Source organism: Homo sapiens, chromosome 13, assembly GCF_000001405.40.
Source record: "Homo sapiens chromosome 13, GRCh38.p14 Primary Assembly".
NCBI classification, from domain to species: Eukaryota; Metazoa; Chordata; class Mammalia; order Primates; family Hominidae; genus Homo; species Homo sapiens.
Window position 1 is genome coordinate 21556173 of NC_000013.11, and position 20596 is coordinate 21576768.

Sequence of the window (20596 nt, forward strand, 5' to 3'; positions counted from 1 at the left end):
AACTGTTCTTATAAAGGTCACCAATAACCCTCATATTGCCAAATCTAATGGTCAATTCTTAGTCCTCATCTGACCTGATTTCTCAACAGCATTTTTCATAGTTGATTACTCCTTCCTTGAAATGCTTTCTTTACTTAAATTTCACAACACTCTGCTTTCCTGGTTTTCTTCCTACCTTTTAGCTGCTCCTTCTCTGGGTTTTCCTTATCTCTTCACCTCCAAATGTTGGAATAACTCACCACTCAGTCCTTTGACTTATCTTTTCTATCCAAACTCATTTTTGAGATCTCATCAAGTATTTTAGCCTTAAATAGCACGTATATATTGAAGATTCTTAAATTTACATCTCTAATGTCTACGCAGTTTTCAGGAGAGCGAAGACATGAGACTATTTGGAAGTTTTAAAGAATGAGACAGTGGAGAGAAAAAGTGATGGAACTAGAGAAGGGGGCGGAGGAATCAGCCTTAGCAGGGCAAGAGCACTACTTCCAGTTTAAAAGGCCAGGAAGCATGTAGGCAAGTTCTCGGGCAGCAAGGGAGGGATCTGAAGAACTCCCTAGCTTATGGCCTTAATTTGCTCAGTCAAAAATAGGTGAAATAATATTATAAATGTGAAAAAAGGATGTGATAAAAAGTCTGAAAAAAGCAGCAAGAGTTGAGAAGAGCTGACGAAGGAAATAGGAGAAAGCTAATTCATGTGTAAAATGATTGGAAAACTCTAGGTGAAGGTGAGGACTATCAAAATTAGTGGCTCCGATCTGCACAATCACATGATTTTCTCCCAAAGTTGACAGCAGGCTAAGTCCGACAAGAACAACAAAGGGGAAAGATATTTGCAAGTAGTTATTCAACAGTGACAAAATGACAAACCTGTAGCTACAGGGGAGGAAAAATATCCAAGAGGAACAGAGAGCTTGGGAATGATGGGATAGTTGAGACTAGAAGCTTTTATTAAATCTGAGAATAGGTGCATTGGGTATTAGAAAGTAGGCAGGGTGGGGACAACAGTAACTTGTTGCCAGAGAATGGGATTCTGCAATTTGAGATTTTAAAACTGGAGCAATTCCAGGTAATGGACGTGGGAAGTGAATAAGAATGAAGGTCACTGGAAATGAAAACTAAAGAACTATAAGGCTAAAGAAATTCAGTAGAAAAGAACGTAAAGAAGGGAAATGGTATTCTGGCTAGATAAGCTAGGTCTCAAAGCAGCACATTTGATGGTTTTTAGAGTGCACAATGGAGGACTGAGGATGACACTGATTTCCCTCAAGCCTACCAAGGAAACAGGAAGAATGAGTATCTACTTGAAAGGAGCATGGGGAGATGGTTTACAGAAGCCTCATTAACTACTATTAATAAAGTGTATTATTTGCAAAAAATCCAAAAAGATACATACTACGTAAAAATGAGTTTAGGATCTAATAAATCTTAGACTGTTTTGTATCTTTCTGTTTATTCATGGAGATCATGGGTCAGTGGGTTGGCCCTGTTTTTCCTTATTTTGCTGTTCATAATGATCTGTAGGAATGCAACCAAGATTATTATCCTTCTTATCCATGATGAAAAATGAAGATGAAGTACATCACATGCATAAAGGATGTATTATTTGGCCTGCAAAATTACTGAATTCTTGATTTAGCTAAATGCCTTCTGATAGTTTAATTGCATTCCAATGAATAATAAAAGTGGAAACATTATAATCTTTAATCATGGTTTATTTTAGTTCTTTGAATATATTTACAATGGCTATTCTAAAGTCTTTTTCTGGTATATCTGATATCTGGTTGCAATCACAAGCAGTTTCTGTTACCTGCTTTTGTCCAGTAGAGTCATATATTCCTGTTTCTTTGCATATTTCATAATATTTTGTTATAAAAACTCACATTTCAGATAATATACTGTAGCAACTCTGAGTACTATTAACAATTCCCTGCTCCCCCAGGGTTGTTACTGCTATCTGCTTATTTGCTATTTGTTTAGTGCCAAGCTGGATTATTTTAATGAAGACTATCGCCCCCCAGTGTTAAGCCTCTGATGTTGCTCCTCAGGGAGGCAGTTTTGGGTATGCCTTCAGTCACCCTGGGATGAGAGTAATTTGGGCAGCACTCTAGTTTCCGTTTTCTTGACCATACCAAGATGTTAAGCTCCACTAATTTGGGGTCCTTTGAAGGAATAATTTCCACTGTCAGTGTTTAATATTTGTAATGACCCCAGGAGGGCTCCTTATAGCTGTCTCTTTCCCTAGTTCTCTTCCGCAAAGCAGCCAGCCTACAGTTTAGCCTGTTATTTTAATTGAATTTGTTAATGTCCTCCCAATTACCTTTCACCACAACCTCCACGTGTTTTTGAGTGTGGATCTTAGGCTTGAACTTCTCCATTTTCTGTTGATGGTGAAGTCGGTTTCTTTGGGAAGAGATAAGGAGCTATTTGTTTTACCTGTTGCCCACACCCTCCACTTCTCACCCCACAAAATTTGTGGGCTGGGGTTCTGGGGTTGGGAGTGGGACCAGTGGTGTAACTTCAGGTCTTCTTGACTTGCCTCTCTCAGTGTGGAACCTGTCTTACAAGTTGAGACAAGAGCAATCAGGGTCCCAGTATTCTTAGGGGTACAAGGCCCAAGGTAGAGCCTCCATTTCACAGGTGAGGGATGGCAGGGAGAAGGGAGCTCCCACTTCTCAGCTGCACTCCCCAGAACTAGCCTCAAAAACAAGTAGCTGGGGGCAAGATGAGAAATGCTGGTATCCGGTTTCTCTGGGAAGAAAGCCCTCTGAATGGGTACTGAGGGGAGAGGAAACCCTCTGTTCTTGGCTGCACCAGTTTGGAATAAATTTCCATTCAACAAACTGGGACAGGGTAGGGAGGGAGTTCTTGGTTCAAGCATCCCAGACTCTTAGTTTTCTTATCCAATTTTAGTAGATTTTCTTAAACAGATGTTCTTTAATGTGCTATACGACTCCAAGACCACTTCCAGAGACTTTAAAGGAAGGTCTTAAAATTTTTTTACCAGTTTCAGTGGGAAGTGGGCCAATGGAGTTACTCATGCTGCCATGATGAAAGTCGACCATCTAAGTTTGTTCACTTTTACTCAGTAAAATTTCATTGTGTGAATACACTGTAGCACAGTTTATTTATCCAGTCTGTTATTAAGGGACAGTTGAGTTGTTTCCAGCTTTTGCTAATATAACACTGCTACTACAAGCATTCTTACACATATATCCCACTGCACAGGGGCAAATATTCCTGTTGCATATAGAGTGTATATATAGGAATGGGATTTGTATGTCAAAAGTTATGCTAATGTTTAATTTTATATAACAGTTCTAAGTTGTTTTCCAAAGTAGGAGTTTCTTTCTTTTCTTTTTTTTTTTTTGAGACAGAGTCTTGCTCTGTTGCCCAGGCTGAAGTGCAGTGGTGCGATCTGGGCTCCTAGCAACCTCCACCTCTTGGGTTCAAGCGATTCTCCTGCTTCATCCTCCTGAGTAGCTGGGACTACAGATGCACGCCACCATGCCTGGCTAATTTTTCTATTTTTAGTAGAGACAGGGTTTCTCCATGTTGGCCAGGCTGGTCTTGAACTCCTGACCTCAGGTGATCCACCTGCCTTGGCCTCCCAAGGTGCTGGGATTACAGGGGTGAGCCACCATGCCCAGCCCAAAGTAGTAGTTTCAATTGGCATGTCCAACTAACAGTGTATAAAAATCTTTGCTGATCTACATTCTCTTCAACTTTTGTCTTTAACAAAATTAATTGTTGCTAATCTTATATAAAATTATATCTTATTGTAGTCACTAATAAGGGTAAACATATTTATGTTCTTTTTTTGCATACATTTCCTCTTCTGTGAATGCCTACTTACTACTTCTGTCCCTTTTTTAAAAAAATTGTCTTTTTCTTATTGATTTGTAGTTTTCTACATATACTAAGTATTGTCTTAAATTTTGGAAGTCTTTGGCTTACCTTTTCAATTTCTCTAAGGCAACTTTTGATCAATAGAAGTTCTAATTTTAATATGGTTGAATTTTATCAATCTTTTATGTTAGTGCTTTTTGTGGCTTATTTAAGGAAGATTTCTTTAACCTAAGGAGACAGATTTTAAAATTTTCTTTGAAAAATGTTTGCTTGTTTTCCATATGCATATCCAACTGCACTAGTACCATTATCCAACTGCACTAGTACCATTCGTTGAACAGTCCCTCTTTTTCCACTGATTTATAATGCCACCTCTCTCATATATAAAAGTTCCCTTGTGTTTCTGGGCTCTTTATTCTGTTCCACTGGTCAGTTTGTCTATCCCTATGCCAATGCCATTTGATCTTAATTACTGAGGTTTTATAATAAAGCTCATTATTTGATAGAGTTAACTTCTCCATTTTTTTCCTTCTTTCAGAGTGTCTTTGCCAGTTCAGGCCCCTTGTTTTTCCGTATAAATTTTCAAATCAGCTTGTCAAAAAACACACACACACACACACACACGTGTGCATACATGTGTGAGCACACATTTACCTACCCCATTGGGATTATTGCAATTACACTGAATTTATAGATTAGGGGTTACAAACTAGGTCAACAGGCCCAATTATGCTTGTAGAAATGTCTAGGTAGCAGAATTTCTGTAAAAATTTTCAATTTGAGTGCCTGTAACAACATCTAGACTCTAGTTAGCTATATAGCTTGTCCCACCGACTATATTATATTGATTTGATTCAAAACTATTCTTTTTCTGACTGGTCCTGTAAGGTTTTAAATTTTCCACTTGGTCATCTAAACTATTCTTGCCTAGAGTTCTCTTCTAGGGACCAAATACTCTTCTGAAGATGCCAGCTTCACTTTCATTGGTTGAAAATATTTTAAAATTTCTTTTGAGATTCCTTATTTGACCCATGTGTTATTTAAAAGTGTGTCATTTAATTTCCAAATACTCTGAGATGTTTCAGCTATCTTTTTGTTACTGATTTCTAGTTTAAGTCTACTGTGGTCTAAGACCATACTTTGTATGATTTCTATTCTTGTAAATTTTTTTAAACTGTGTTTTATGATCCCAAATTTGGTCTATCTTGGTGAGTGGTTCCAGGTTAGCTTCAGAATGTATATTCTGCTATCGTTAGGTGAAATATCCTATAAGTGGCAATTAGATCCAGTTACTTGGTGGTGCTGTTTTATTCAGGTATATCCTTATTGGTTTTCTGTCTGCTGAATCTGTCAATCAATGACAGAAGGCTCTTGAAATCTCCAAGTATAATAGTTTCTAAGAACACATCTGTTTCTCCTTGCAGTTCTATCAGTTTTTGCCTCATGTGCTTTGATGCCCTGTTGTTAGGTATACATACATTACAGATAGTTATGTCTTCTGGAGTACTCACCCATTAAAAAAAAAAAATTACTACGCAATGCCTCTTTTTATTCCTGATAATTTCCCTCATTCTGAAATTTGGTTTATCTGAAGGCTAGCTACTCCAGCCTTCTTTTGATTAGTGTTAGCAATTACTCTATCTGTATCTTTACATTTAAAGTGGGTTTCTTTTTTTTTTTTTTTAGTCTCTTTTTTTTTATTATTATTATACTTTTAAGTTTTAGGGTACATGTGCACAATGTGCAGGTTACATATGTATACATGTGCCATGCTGGTGTGCTGCACCCATTAATTTGTCATTTAGCATTAGGTATATCTCCTAATGCTATCCCTCCCCCCTCCCCCCACCCCACAACAGTCCCCAGAGTGTGATGTTCCCCTTCCTGTGTCCACGTGTTCTCATTGTTCAATTCCCATCTATGAGTGAGAACATGCAGTGTTTGGTTTTTTGTCCTTGCGATAGTTTACTGAGAATGATGATTTCCAATTTCATCCATGTCCCTACAAAGGACATGAACTCATCATTTTTTATGGCTGCATAGTATTCCATGGTGTATATGTGCCACATTTTCTTAATCCAGTCTATCATTGTTGGACATTTGGGTTGGTTCCAAGTCTTTGCTATTGTGAATAGTGCCGCAATCAACATACATGTGCATGTGTCTTTATAGCAGCATGATTTATAGTCCTGTGGGTATATACCCAGTGATGGGATGGCTGGGTCAAATGGTATTTCTAGTTCTAGATCTCTGAGGAGTCGCCACACTGACTTCCACAATGGTTGAACTAGTTTACAGTCCCACCAACAGTGGAAAAGTTTCTTATAAACCACATGCATAAAATACATATCTACAGTGACTGTTGATATATCTGGATTGATATCTACCATATCTAACTATTGCACTTGAGTTTTGTTTCATTTTTTTTGTCTTCCACTCTTTTTTTGCCTTCTCTGATTTTAGCTGAGTATTTTACATAACTTAATTTTCTCTCCTCTCTTAGAATGTCAATTCTATTTATTAAAAATATTTTTTTAGTAGTTGTCCTAAAGTTTGCAATATATATTTGCAACTAATCTAAGTCCACTTTCAAATAACACTATACCACTTCGTGGGTGGTACAAGTATCTTATAACAAAAGTATTCCCAATTCCTCCCTCCTGTCCCTTATACCGTTGCTGTTATATATTTCACTTATCCATACAATTTGATCATCCAATATTGTGTTGCTATTATTATTTTGATTAAACTGTTATCTGTTATATCAATTTTTAAAAACGTGATTTTATATTCATGTATTCCTTTTCTACCTTAACTGTCTTCCTTTCTTCATGCCAAGTTCCTGATATATCGTTTTCCTTCTTTCTGAAGAACGTCTTTGAACATTTCTTGTAAATCAGATCTACTGGTGACAAATTCTCTCAAATTTGGTTTGTCTGAGAATGTATTTCTTTTTCACTTTTGAAGGATAATTTTCACTAGATATAGAATTCTACATTGGTAAATTTTTCTTTCAAAATTTTATCCACCCTCTTCTTGCTTAAAAAGAAATATATAATTCTTACCATTGTTTTTCTACAGATAAGGTGTTTTTTCTTCTTTGGCTTCTTTCAAGATTTTTTTCTCTTTCTTCTGTTCTCTAAAATTTTTCTGGCCGGGCGTGGTGGCTCATGCCTGTAATCCCAGCACTTTGGGAGGCCAAGGTGGGCGGATCATGAGGTCACGAGATCGAGACCATCCTGGCTAACACGGTGAAACCCTGTCTCTACTAAAAATACAAAAAATTAGTCGGGCGTGGTGGCGGGCACCTGTAGTCCCAGCTACTCGGGAGGCTGAGGCAGGAGAATGGCATGAACCCGGGAGGTGGAGCTTACAGTGAGCCAAGATTGCACCACTGCACTCCAGCCTGGGCTATAGAGTGAGACTTTGTCTCAAAAAAAAAAAAAAATTCTGCAGTTTGAATATGATACACCTAGGCATTTATTGGTATTTATTCTGCTTGGTGTTTTTGTGAACTTCTTGAATCTATGGCTTGACATTTGTTAATAATTTTGGAAAACTCAGTCATTATTATTTCAAATACTTCTTTTCCTCTTTCTTTTTTTCCTGGTGTTCCTGTTCCTTATATGTTACACCTTTTATAACTGACTCACAGTTTTTGAATATTCTGTTTTTCTCAGTCTTTTTGTTCCTCTTTGCTTTTCAAGTTGGGAAGTTTCTATTGACATATCTTCAAGCTCACTGATTCTTTTCTCAGCCAGGTCCGTTACACTGATGGGCCCAACAAACACATTTTTTTTTTTTTTGAGTCAGGGTCTTACTCTGTCACCTAGTCTGGAGTGCAGTGGTGCAATCATAGTTCACTGTAGTCTCAAACTCCTGGGCTCAAGTGATCCTCAGCCTCTGAAGTAGCTAGGACTACAGGTGTGTGCCACCACACCTGGCTAATTTCAAAGGCATTCTTCATTTCTGTTACACTATTTTTGATTTTGAGCATTTGCTTTTGGTTTGTTCTAAGAATTTCTCTGCCTCTGCTTACGTTACTTTAAATGCTGTGCACTTTTTCCATTGGAGCCCTTAGCATATTAATGTTATTTTAAATTCCTGGTCTGATAATTCCAAATATCTGCTATATATAAATCTGATACTGATATTTGCTTTGTCTTTTCAGATTGTGCTTCTTCTTTTTAGCATGCCTTGTGACTTTTTTTGTTCTAAGTTAGTCATGATGTATTTGGTAAAAGTTACTGAGGTAGATTGGCCTTTTATGTTTATCTGGGTAGGAATCGGTTGGGTTTACTGTTTGCTGTAGTTGTAGGTGACAGAGGCTAAAATTTCCTCTGGTGCCTTTTTTTCTTCTCCCCCGTTGTCTTTTCTCTCCTTAAATAAAATCTAAGAGGTAAGTTCTTTCAGTACTGCCTTATTATTGCAAAGGGGCCTGCTCTATGGATGTGGTGGTGAGGTGAAAAGGGAGGTACGTATTGTACAGTCCTATGATCAGCTGTCAGTCTTTCAGTCGGACTGTGTGACTGTGAAGGGATGTACCCTTCAAAAGCGGTTCTCAGTTTTTTTGTTTTTCCACTCCCCTTGGTGAGACAAGAAGGCCAGAGGGGGATAGATTTGGGAATTTCCATCCCCCTAGGGTGGCTGGGCTCCAGTAAAAAAGTTTCCTTTCTGTGCAGGCCTTTGTTAAGGAGAATGAAATGCTCTGGGAGTATCTAAAAATGGCTACTTTTCCCTCCCAATGAGGAAGAGGGGAGAACATTTTTCTTAGATCTTCACTGTGAGAACCTGGCAGAGTTCCTCAAGGTAAAACTCACAAAAGCGTATGGGCTTCTCCGTGGCTGGCTCTTCAGGAGTTGTTATCTCTCAAGCTAGTTCACACTCAGATTCCAGCAATTAATTACCCTTTAAATATTCCTACCTGAAGCTGGCTCCAGTGGTGGGTTCTTAGAGGTTTCTGTTGGTAGTAAGCTGACTCTATGGATCTGCTTGCCTTCAGTTTCCAGCTCAAGTGTGACCTCAATTCTCTGATGAATCTAACAGGAATTCACAACGTCCAAGTGCTTTACCTGTTAGAGGCTAAACTACTTTTTAAGAGAAATCTTTTTGCATATCTTTGATTACTTACATTATGAACTTACTGTACTAATGTGGGTAAATATCTTTAAGGTTGCTAGTATACACAAACTTCCCTGCAAAAAAGCTGTAATAAAAGAACCTAGGCTGGGCGAGGTGGCTCATGCCTGCAATCTCAGCACTTTGGGAGGCCAAGGGGGGTGGATTACCTGAGGTCAGGAGGTTGAGACCAGCCTGGCCAACATGGTGAAACTCTGTCTCTACTAAAAACACAAGGCTGGGCGCGGTGGCTCATGCTTGCAATCCCAGCACTTTGGGAGGCCGGGGAGGGTGGATCACGAGATCAGGGGATTGAGACCATCCTGGCAAACACAGTGAAACACCGTCTCTATTAAAAAGTACAAAAAATTAGCTGGGCGTGGTGGCACGTGCCTGTAATCCCAGACACTTGAGAGGCTGAGGCAGGAGAATCGCTTGAACCCCAGAGGTAGAGGTTGCAGTGAGCCAAGATCGCGCCACTGCACTCCAGCCTGGGCGACAGAGCGAGACTCCGTCTCAAAAAACAAACAAACAAAAACAAAAATTAGCCAGGCATGGTGGTGGGCACCTGTAATCCCAGCTACTCGGGAGGCTGAGGCAGGAGAATTGCTTGAACCCGGGAGGCGGAGGTTGCAGTGAGCTGAGATCATGCCATTGCACTCCAGCCTGGGAGACAGAGCAAGACTCTGTTTCAAACAAACAAACAAAACCCTAAACATATTTTTACCACCTTATTTTTCTGCTCACAAACCTTCAATGCCATTCATCCCTGCCAAATACCATTCATCTGGTGGTTGGAGAGGGCCACTGAAGTCTTCTGGATAATCCAGACCTTATCTGTTTTTCAATTTCATCCCTCACTACTGCTTAAAGTAATCCTTTTGTTCCAGTGATCACTGAATTTATTGTCCCTAGAATACACCATGATCACTCATTTCGTTTTTGTTCATCATCCCTCAATGTTTATAATGCTGTCCCATGTTCTCTCAGCCTTTTTGAATTCAATCTATACTACTCTGACTGCTCACCTTGCTCTCACCCATTTCAGCTGCTGCATATTTATAGAGAGTATTCCAGTACACTTAGGAAGGCGTCAGAAAGCCAACAAGTTTTCACAGACTACTTCTTCAATATGGGCACAGAGGATGGGGTCAAATCCACTCTATGCAAAATGAGGACTAATTTAGATAATAAAACTAAGAATTTCTGAAATCTGAAACAAATGCACGTTGGCTGCTTATTAAATAAAATCATGTAATTATAGTTTTTCAACTTCTTGTTTCTCATTTTTTTCAGGATTTTCTACCTGTGACATCATGACTGCATTAAGCAGCTCTCCTAACTTCTCAAATCTAGTTTCATTTTTTTTTTTGGCCCAATTTATAACATGGACAAAGTAATTACTAATGACATATTTAGTAGCAATTAAAACTTAAACTATTTTTCCTGTCTCTTTAGAGAAACATACATACAAAACAACTATTTCTAAGATAAATATAAAAGTATAAGTAGTGTCACAAGAAAAGTCTAAATAAGCAAATGCATGGTACAAAGATGATAATTAAAATGAAGAAAAGCTGTTATCAATCCTGAAAAACAGGTTTTTCAGCCCTGAAGTCTGATTTTTTTAATTAAAAAAAAAAAAGACCCAACTCACGTTCCATTTGCTCAAACATCACTGAGAAGAGGAAGTCTCGTGGTGTCATATAATATTCTCCTTCATGTTCGAGTGAAGAAAACTGCATGAAGCGCTGCTTACGAAGAGACGGTTTCCCAATATATATTATTCCATGTTCAACATTTTTCTAAAAGAAAAATAAATTGCAATTGAAGATTTTTTCAGTGTTATTCCCAGTCACTTCTAGGACAATCTTTAAAAAGTAACTTTCACGCTTGGATCTGACAATCCCCAAACTTTTAAAATCATTCATTTAACAAATATTAACTGAGTGCCTACTTCGCACTGAAGATACAATAGTGAATAAGACTAACTTGAGGGAAGTGACATTCCAAAAAGGGAGAATGGCAATTAATGAATAAATGTATAAAATAATGTAAAACGGTAAGAAGTACTACATAGAAATATAAAGCAGGATAAGAAAGGGATAAGGTGGTAATACCATAAGATAGTCAGAGAAGGTCTTTCTGAAGAGGTAACACTTAGAGAGATTAAACGAGGTGGAGTTAGTGTGTCCTGGGGTTGGGGGGTCTCTGGAAGAAAAGCATTCTAAGCAAGCACAAAGTCCATGAGGTGGGAACAAGCTTGGTGTGGTCAAGGAACAGCAGAAAGGCCACGTTACCAGAGTGACTGAGGAAAGAAGAGAGTGGCAGAAGAGAGTCAGGAGGGCAACAGAACATGTGAAGTTGTGCTTTCATAAAGATAAAATATATCATATTAGATAAATAGCTTTGCTTTCAGAAATGTGAGAGAACCATGGGTAGAAAGAGCTAGAAGAAGGATGGGTAAAATATTGCAGAATATATAGGAATATGGTGGAAGAGTCTGCACCTCAGGCAGTAGGACTTAGACCTTGACTAAGTGCTAATGAAGAGAGTGCTGAAATCTTTACAAAGAACTTTTTGTTGAGCATTTCTATGTATTAGGCACTGTACTAATCAAGTATTCACATAGATTATTTAGTTAATCCTCATAATAACTTTGAGCAGTAGATACAGAAACTGAAAAGTAAACGGCAGAGGCAGGCTAAAAAGCTAGGTCTGACTCAAAGGGTTTTAATCTCTTAACTACCACACTATCCTCCTACACATGACTGGGCATTGTGAACTAGGGAGACTGGAGGAAGATGACACAGTAGTTAAAAGACACCTATGTCAATGCACGAATCTTGATACAAGAACATATTATCTGTGAAATCCAATAGCAGGCTTTCATTCTGGATTGCTTTCCTGAGACACTGCTCTAACCTGGACCACAGTATCCTTCCTGGACATATCACCTTCTTTTCACACTGAATACTGATTCTATAATACTCTCTGACACACAGGCAATGTTCAGTGACTGCTGACTTGAATTGAAATGGGAAAAACATGAATTCCAGTTGCTTAAATCTCTCTTAATTCAAAGCTGTCAACCCCTTCTTTTGGCTGATTTCAGTTCTCTGACCAGTATTAATTCTCTCTCTTAATTAGACAACAGGCTTCCTTGAGCAGCTAGTTTTACACCTCTTTTGTGTTGTCAGTGTCTACCAGAATATTGCACGTGTACAGAATATCAATAATATTGTAATGATCTGTACCCTCACCTTCCCTATGCCTTTCCTTTTCTTTTCCCTTAAATGACTACTACAAAAATAGCTGAAGGGGAATGTTTTAATTACGTAAGTCCACACTTACCATCCCCGTAATCAGAAAACTAAATTTTATTGATACTTTCTGAACATTTTAAACGTGGGGCAAATATACATGTTTTCAACCAACAACTTGATCCTTTTTGTAAAAATAAACAAACTCTTCTTTCCAAACCTCAACCAACTAAAAAAGGTCAGCTACTCGTTTATCCCTGTCCTCTACTGGTGCCATAACAAGATAGGCCATTAACTCTATGTTTCTTCTGATTGTCCTTTAACTTGTAGCAATCTTATTCTTTCCTGGTCCTAACTAATATCAAATCTCATCAAGAAGTAAAAACACTAACCTCCCACTCTCTTACAGCAAGACATGAAAACTATTTTCAAAGAAATTCTGTTTTTTTTTTCTTCTAGGAGGTTTAGACCCCACAAACTCCTCTATCTTATGGTTACCATTTTTATATGCTTATACATGCCTATAACTCATACAGGATAACATTTTTGAAGAGGCTTCAGTCAGTTATTCAGGGAAGTGCCATCTTACTGAGTTGAAAGGTTGAGTGAACTGTCACTCCTTTGAATTTTGGGTAAATATCCCCTGTAGCGAACAAGAAAAGGTAGAGGAATTGAAACTAAGGCTCGCTTTCTTTCAGAGGTTGATTTCCGAGCTTGAGGCTGTCATTGAATTGCAGACCATGAATTTAGAAGGTCACTTATAGAAAAATGACCTCTGAATTTGTCCGACTGCCATGACTCTACCAGTACATGGTGAGGTATAAAACCTTCCAACAACGCTATCAACATCCCCCCAATTAATTTTGGTATGGTAGCTTTTCCTTCCTGCTACTCTATAGTCTAAATAAACCTATTCTACTACCCCCAAACCTTTCAACTCCCACTGGCAGCACTAATAATGTCTCTCCTTTTCCTAATCCTTTCCACTACCTCTCATGCTCTGCTTATAGAGTACAAAACTATCATCTGGAGGTCATCACCACGGCAGATTGTAATCCTACCATTTTCCTTAGGAAATATGCAGAGGAAGCCCCCAAGTCACCATCTCCTACTATTAGTCTTTCTGTTCATCCTAAGCCCCACCTTCTCTGAAGAAAACACTGAATTGAGCATTTACTAATTTGAGGAGACTCTAGGAAGAGACAGAACACATAAGAATCAAGGGGGCAACTCTGTAGTATTATAATATACTGTAGTATTATATATTAATATATAATACTCTGTATTATAGTATCTAATGTTTATTAAGTATGTAGTATATGCAGAGCAGGGTGCTAATATCTTTACATACATGTTCTTACTCAGTCTCCACAATGCCCTTAATAGTAGACACCATTTTTGTCATCTTCGTTTTACAAAAAAAAAAAACAAAACACTTACGGCTTGTGAAAGTTAACCAGCTTGCCTAGATTGTAAGTGATAGCACAGGCAGTATGACATCAACCCCACTGTCTCAACCACGATCCTATACTAGCTCCTGTTAGAATAATATAAATTAGGAAAATAGAAAAAGCAGTGTGGGTAATGGTAGTTGGGAAAGTTTTTATGAAAAGAATAGGATTTAAGCTAAACTTCAGAGAATAAATAACAACAGAACTAGAATTAGTCATCCTTTAGTCCCTGGGCTAACTGTTGTCCATTTCCTAAATGGTATGTATTACTTCTCTAGTTCAATCAAATTTAAAGTAAGTAGGATGCACTGAATGTGTTTCTTTGCTACAACAAAATTTATGTAAAGGAAAAAACATGTATTGTTCTGAAATTACCAGAGCCTTTCTAATTCCAAGTTGATGAACCAACATAGTTTTTTTAGGTCATCTTTATTATACGGTAGTAGAATTTTAAAAGTACATTTTAAAGGATCACTAATATAATCAATGTGCAGTGTATATTTATGCTTATTTCATAGAATTTGGAAGATTAATTTGCCAATGCCATTTTTAACCTTTTATTCATCTGTCAGGCTTAGCTTGCTTTACTTCATTTTTATAATAATTCTGATCAAATCCCAGACTTGATAGATTTAATGGTCAAGAATGTAATAACCACAATATTGTTCCCAAGAAGAAAAAAGGTGCCTTATTATATCATTTCCACGAATGCACTGTAATAAAAGTCTGTTTTTTGTCTATTTTGTCAACTAAACTCTTGAAGCATAAATTTCATCTTTGTTTCACTGTACTGTGCAAAGCATTTGGCCTGGTGCCTTACACATATTGCGACTATAACTGACATACGACATAGAATTTTAAGAGTTAAAAGGGACTTAGAGATCATCTAGTCCAACACTTCTGTGTAAAGGACCAGAAGTCATGTCTTCTGAGTTCCATACCCTGTTTGGTTAACTAGTTTGCTTATTAACTACTTCACATAAATGTTGGGAACAAGTGGCTAAGGTCCAAATGCTGCTAATTTATAGCCTAGGGAAATGCATGCCAAATTATTCCTTATTAATAACTTGAACAACTAAAAACATAGTTTACAATAAGCCTTTGGCAGAAAATGTAAACTATTTCTTAATCTGTTCTTTTCCTTTCTTTCTTCACTTCTTCCTTCCTTCCGTGTGCTTTTCCTGGTAACGTGTGCGTGCTCTCTCTTTTCCCAGTTTTCTCTTCCCTCTTAGGTTTCAGGTTGCTTTTTTTTTGTTGCTGCTATTTTCATGTTCCCTGAACTAACCATGTTGCTTCGGGTACTCATTTACTTTAATCTCTGTTATCTCTTTTTCACTGTGGCATATTCGTGGTAGGTTAGGCTTGGTAAACTGAGCTAAGGCAAAGAAAACGGCTTGTAGACTTAAGTAAGCACAGTTAGAATATCAGTTTGGATGGGGAGGATAAAGAGATATAATAAACGTCAAGATATCAAAGTTATTTGAGACCAGCCTGAGCAATGTAGTGAGACCCTGTCTCTATAAAAATAATAGAAATTAAAATTTTAAAAAAAATCAATATTAGGCTGGGCACGGGGGCTCACGCCTGTAATCCCAGCACTTTGGGAGGCCGAGATGGGTGGATCACGAGGTCAGGAGATTGAGACCATCCTGGCTAACACAGTGAAACCCCGTCTCTACAAAAAATACAAAAAAATTAGCCAGGCGTGGTGGCAGGAGCCTGTAGTCGCAGCTACTCGGGAGGCTGAAGCAGGAGAATGGCGTGAACCCAGGAGGTGGAGCTTGCAGTGAGCCAAGATCGTGCCACTGCACTCCGGCTTGGGCAACAGAGCGAGACTGCGTCTCAAAAGGGGAAAAAAAAGAAAGGCAAAACAGAGTAGGAGATATTTAAACTGGATCTTAAAGGATGAGCAGGAGTTTGCCAAGACAGGGAACAGCAGTAGAGCAAGCTCCACTAAAGGTGGCTCTGACAGCTGGGGAGCCAGATTCATGATGTAGAGGGTCTTTGAGCTATGTGACAAAAATGGACAGAGCAAAGTAACAGCAGCCATACAGTACTGCAAAGATCATCATGAATTTTCACATTTTCTTTTGTTAATCTATAAAATAGCCACCAAATATGTAAGACACTGGAGCCTATATGGAAATTTGGAATTGGATATCTGATACCATGATTCAGCACTCTTAATCTACCTATCTAATAAACTTAGTTAGTTTCAAAACCCTGCCATATTAAAAACATTAAATTATAAGTGCTAGATTAAAATACACTAATGGTAGAAGGGAGATCTAACAGCCTGACAGTAAGGCAGGAGAGAAAAATAATACAAAACAGTGACAAGTGAAATGAGTGACTGTGGCATAAGTTTTAATCATTGAGGTTTATTAAGCCAGCTGTACGCTGTGTCCGGGAAAAACATAAGCTACAAACGTATCTGTGGCTGTTTTTCTGGAGGTTTTCAGGAGTTTTAGTATTTATACATTTCCTTAAAATGAGGGAGGGCATGTAGGAAGAGGGGCAGGTAGGGGTAAGGCGAATGGTTACATTCCTGTGAGACTTCCGTTAGTGCCAAGTGAATCTACATTTTACAGAAGATAAGGTGAGTGGAGAGAAAGGGAGTAGTCCTTTTCTCTTTGTACTTCCCCTGGGAGATACATTTGTAATTCACATTATCAGTGTAGAATTTAACACACTTTAGTTTTAGGAGCTAGACTTAGACTGTATACCTAAAGTTATAATTGGCATGTCCTTGTTTATGGGAGGCTAGCAAAGAATTTACTTATGAATAGTCTGTGGGGTAGCCCTTCCCACATGCCTAAGGCTTTTTTCCTTTCCAGGAGGACCTCGCTAAAGTATACTGTTGCATGATTCAGCCTCCAGGCTTAAGTTTGGGGGTCCTGGGATTTTAAATTTTTCTTTATAGTAGACACAGCTGCAATTGCCTGGACCAATCGATGTTATTACAACCAATCAACAGGCCCAGGTCTATACATGGTGATGATTTTCTGTCCAGAGTAATTTATTATTAGGGAATATCAGAATGTAGAAAAATATGAAATACATTTTAGCTGTTGTTAATGTAAATAATACAAAAAAAAAATGTTTTCCTGCTTACACAGCTAATTTTAGTTACCTGGGAAGATTCACATACACCACACGCCTCATACTCGACTAATGCCATATAAATTCAACATTATTGTCTGATTTTACTATATATTCAAAGTACTTCGTAGAATGTATGTTATATAAAAATACCAGGGCTATATCTACATAAACTGAAAATAGAGCTGTGAGTGGAGACGTAGTCTTTCAGAAAAATAAAGGTAGACAGTTTGGGGTTGTCAAATACTGTTACATGTCAAATAAAATTATACCACATGATGCAAATGCTTTCACCTTTCTAACAATGTTAACATACATTTTTTTGTTTTTTTTTTTGAGACGGAGTCTCACTCTGTCATCCAGGCTGGAGTGCAGTGGCGCCATCTCGGCTCACTGCAAGCTCCGCCTCCTGGGTTCATGCCATTCTCCTCCTCAGCCTCCTGAGTAGCTGGGACTACAGGCGCCCGCCACCATGCCCGGCTAATTTTTTGTATTTTTAGTAGGGACGGGGTTTCACCGTCTTAGCCAGGATGGTCTTGATCTCCTGAGCTAGTGATCCGCCCACCTCGGCCTATAAAAGTGCTGGGATTACAGGTGTGAGCCACTGCGCCCAGCTTGCTGCCATCTTATGTTTAAGCATACTAAGTATGAACAATCCTAGAGGACCTCAGGGGAAACTGATCCGTTTTAGTTTCTCAGAAAATGTAAATAAGGTTAGAACCATAATGCCTTGACCGCTGCATTCAACCTTTTAAAAACTGTTGTCCAAGGAGTTAATAATTAAAAAAAAAAAAGACACAGTAGAGGATTAGACATAATTAAGATTATTCTGAAAAGGCACACATTGCCTTCATATATTATGTGGAGAAATAAAAGCAGTACAAGGTGGGTAACAGCACTGCTACTATTCAACCTGCAAAATTGGAGAGAATTTTTTGTCCCTCCTCACCTCAAACTGCTTATTGTAGTTAAACACAACATTTCAGAAGGAGTGGAACAAAAAATATTAATCTTAACCTTCATTTGAGATTTCCTAAGTTGCTTCTACAAACCTACTCGGTTGGCAGTGTATACAGTTACATATAAATAACCAATGGACTGGCAGGAGAAGCAGCTGCCTGAGGAACTAGCTGGTCAGGAAGAGAGGAAGGGTATGGAATGCAGTGGTGGAGATCAAAGAGCTGCTGAGGGACTGTTGGTGGCTGTTATCCTATCCCTACCCGAGATGCAACTTACAGTCTTCTGAAGTGGAAAGTGGTGGGAGTGGAGGGATGGATTCCTTCTATTGCCATGATTTGCTTCTCAAACCTGCATCTACTACTAAATATATGGAAAAAGAGGAGCAGAAGAAATGCTGGGATTTGGGGCTATACTGAACACATGAGAACCATCCACATGGTTCTAGTTATATATAAAATGCTCCATGGATTTCAAGGATTACTTGTAATGCAGTAAAAAATGTGACAAAGGAATTAAGAGCAATGAGTGATGTGAACTGGATAAAAGAGATCTTTGAAAGCTGATGACTTCTGTTAAAACATTTCACTAGTTTATTGCCTCTAAAGCAACAGGTGCTTCACCACTCTGTCTCTACTTTTTATCCATGAAGTGACATATTGGAAAAAGTTAGTTCTCTGTTCTTTGTTTAACATTCTTTGGTCTCCACATTTCTCAGGAAGAAAGTGGGAAAAGAAAGGGCCTTCCCTATAGCTTTCAATATATATATACATGGCATTAGACAAAATATAGTGAGACCTATTCATTTGGGGCCTTTATTTTCGAATTTGTAATAATCTGGATAAAATATAAAATTGCTCTGTTGTCTTTGAACTTTCTGTGGTGTAACTGGATGACTATCTTTCCTTCTTAAAGAAACCTTTACAATCAGAAATTTTCATTTGACACAACTTTTCCATTTTGTTCTGAATTAGGGAGCTTTTATTGCATATGAAACAAAATACTGCCAGACTAAATTAAAAATATTCACTGCATAAGCTATGCCTCACAATACATTCTACAAAATGACAGCCAATGAGACAACTGTCATTCCTGGGAAACCTGGAAGCTCTAGGAACTACTCTCTCTGGCTTCTGAAATATCGTCTGATCTATGATGGTCTAGTCTAGACTTTGTCCCAGAGACTGGAAGAAAGCTAGCATGGCTTTTTTTAGATGAGGATGGTAAAATGAAATGGCATATGCTTACACACACAGACACACATACACACATAATTTTTTTTTCAACCCCATAGATTTCTATCTGGAGAACAGTGGCCACTGTCAGGGGATGCTGATGAGTAAATAAACAAGCATCTTCTCTTTCAGTGCTTTCTCTTTCCTGATTAAATAACTGAACGGAATACTCATTTTTGCTTCTTCCATAATTACCTTCCAAGAGGTACACCATAACTACATATATTTCTGTCTCTGTTTGAAACAAAAAGTTTAAACTAGGTTTCGAATGATTAAAAAAAAAAAAAAGACTAGGCCGAGTAGGGTGGCTCATGCCTGTAATCCCAGCATGTTGGGAGGCCAAAGTGGGAGGATCCCTTGAGCCCAAGAGTTTGGGACCAGCCTGGGCAACACGGCGAGACATCATATCTACAAAAAAACACACAAATTAGCTAGGCATGGTGGCTCACACCTGTGGTCCCAGCTACTTGGGAGGCTGAGGTGGAGGTGGGAGGATCGCTTGAGCCTTGGAGGTCAAGGCTCCAGTGAGCCGAGATCGCACCACTGCACTCCAGCCTGAGCGACAGAGTGAGACTCTGTCTCAAAAAAAAAAAAAAAAAAAAAAAAAAAGGCTAGAGCCTTAATTTAAAATCTGAATACTCCCACCAAGGTATCATCAATATCATTTATTGCAACTATAACTAAATAACATTTTTCTTAAGAATTGAATGAGCTACTTTAGTTTATTTTCCTCCACAGGAGAAGGTAAAATACTACTTGTGAACTCTTTCTACAACTATTCAACATTATCAATTTATTTAATAAACCTGTCTCCCATGACCAACCATCTTACAGAGATAAAATGGTGGGTGAAGAGGAACTCACTCCCTAGTGGGGAAGGCATAATAGAAGGTGATGTTAGAGCAGAAGTATGAAAGGAACAACAAACATTTAGCAAATGTGTATGTTCCACGAGGATAAATTTAAGTATTTTTCACACATTATTTCTCAACCATGACATTTTGATTTCTTACTTTTCACAATGAGATATGCAACAGACTAATATTTTTCAGTGTTATATAATTAAATTTGAATAGAAAACTAGCAACAGGTCTGGTATCTTGATTTATCTTGACTGTGATCTCTTTTTTTTGGGCAGCTGAGAAGTAGATGCAGAGCAGTAACAAGGAACTTCTGTGATATAAGCTCTAATTTCAGGAATCTTATGTACCCATGCAAAAAGACTTCCTGGAAACTGAGAACTTCAAGTAAGTGGTGCTATTGGGGGGCTGAGTCATAAACAGAGGCTACCACTAGGGATAACAACATTTAGGATATTATATCCTATAATATATGACACAGTATGAAGCAAAGAGGAGATGGATTAAAGGATCCCTCTCTTCTTCTATCCCTTCTTGGGGAACAGCTGCAGTCTGTAGCTGTATTTTACAGTTTGTGACTGCAGTAGGAAAGTGATTCATTCATATAGTATTTTGCCCTGCTCCCCCATTTTCTGTGACCCACTCAGACTTCCATACCCCAGTCCTCAGCAAATGGCTGTCACCTCCATGTGCTTCCCCAGCTTACAGGAAACTGACAGTGAGGATTCTTAAAGCTCATGGCTGAATACTGACTGATAGCA

At 38.3% G+C, this 20596-nt stretch overlaps 1 protein-coding gene across 4 annotated transcripts in view; it reads right to left on the reverse strand.

The window, feature by feature from the left end:
- Positions 1–20596, reverse strand: part of MICU2 (mitochondrial calcium uptake 2) — a 111480-nt gene that overhangs the window by 63482 nt on the left and 27402 nt on the right. For all 4 annotated transcript variants that reach the window (NM_152726.3, XM_047430142.1, XM_047430143.1 and 1 more), the window contains one exon: positions 10625–10772. In NM_152726.3, the coding sequence (NP_689939.1) occupies positions 10625–10772 (148 nt within the window). The remainder of the gene's footprint in view (positions 1–10624; positions 10773–20596) is intronic.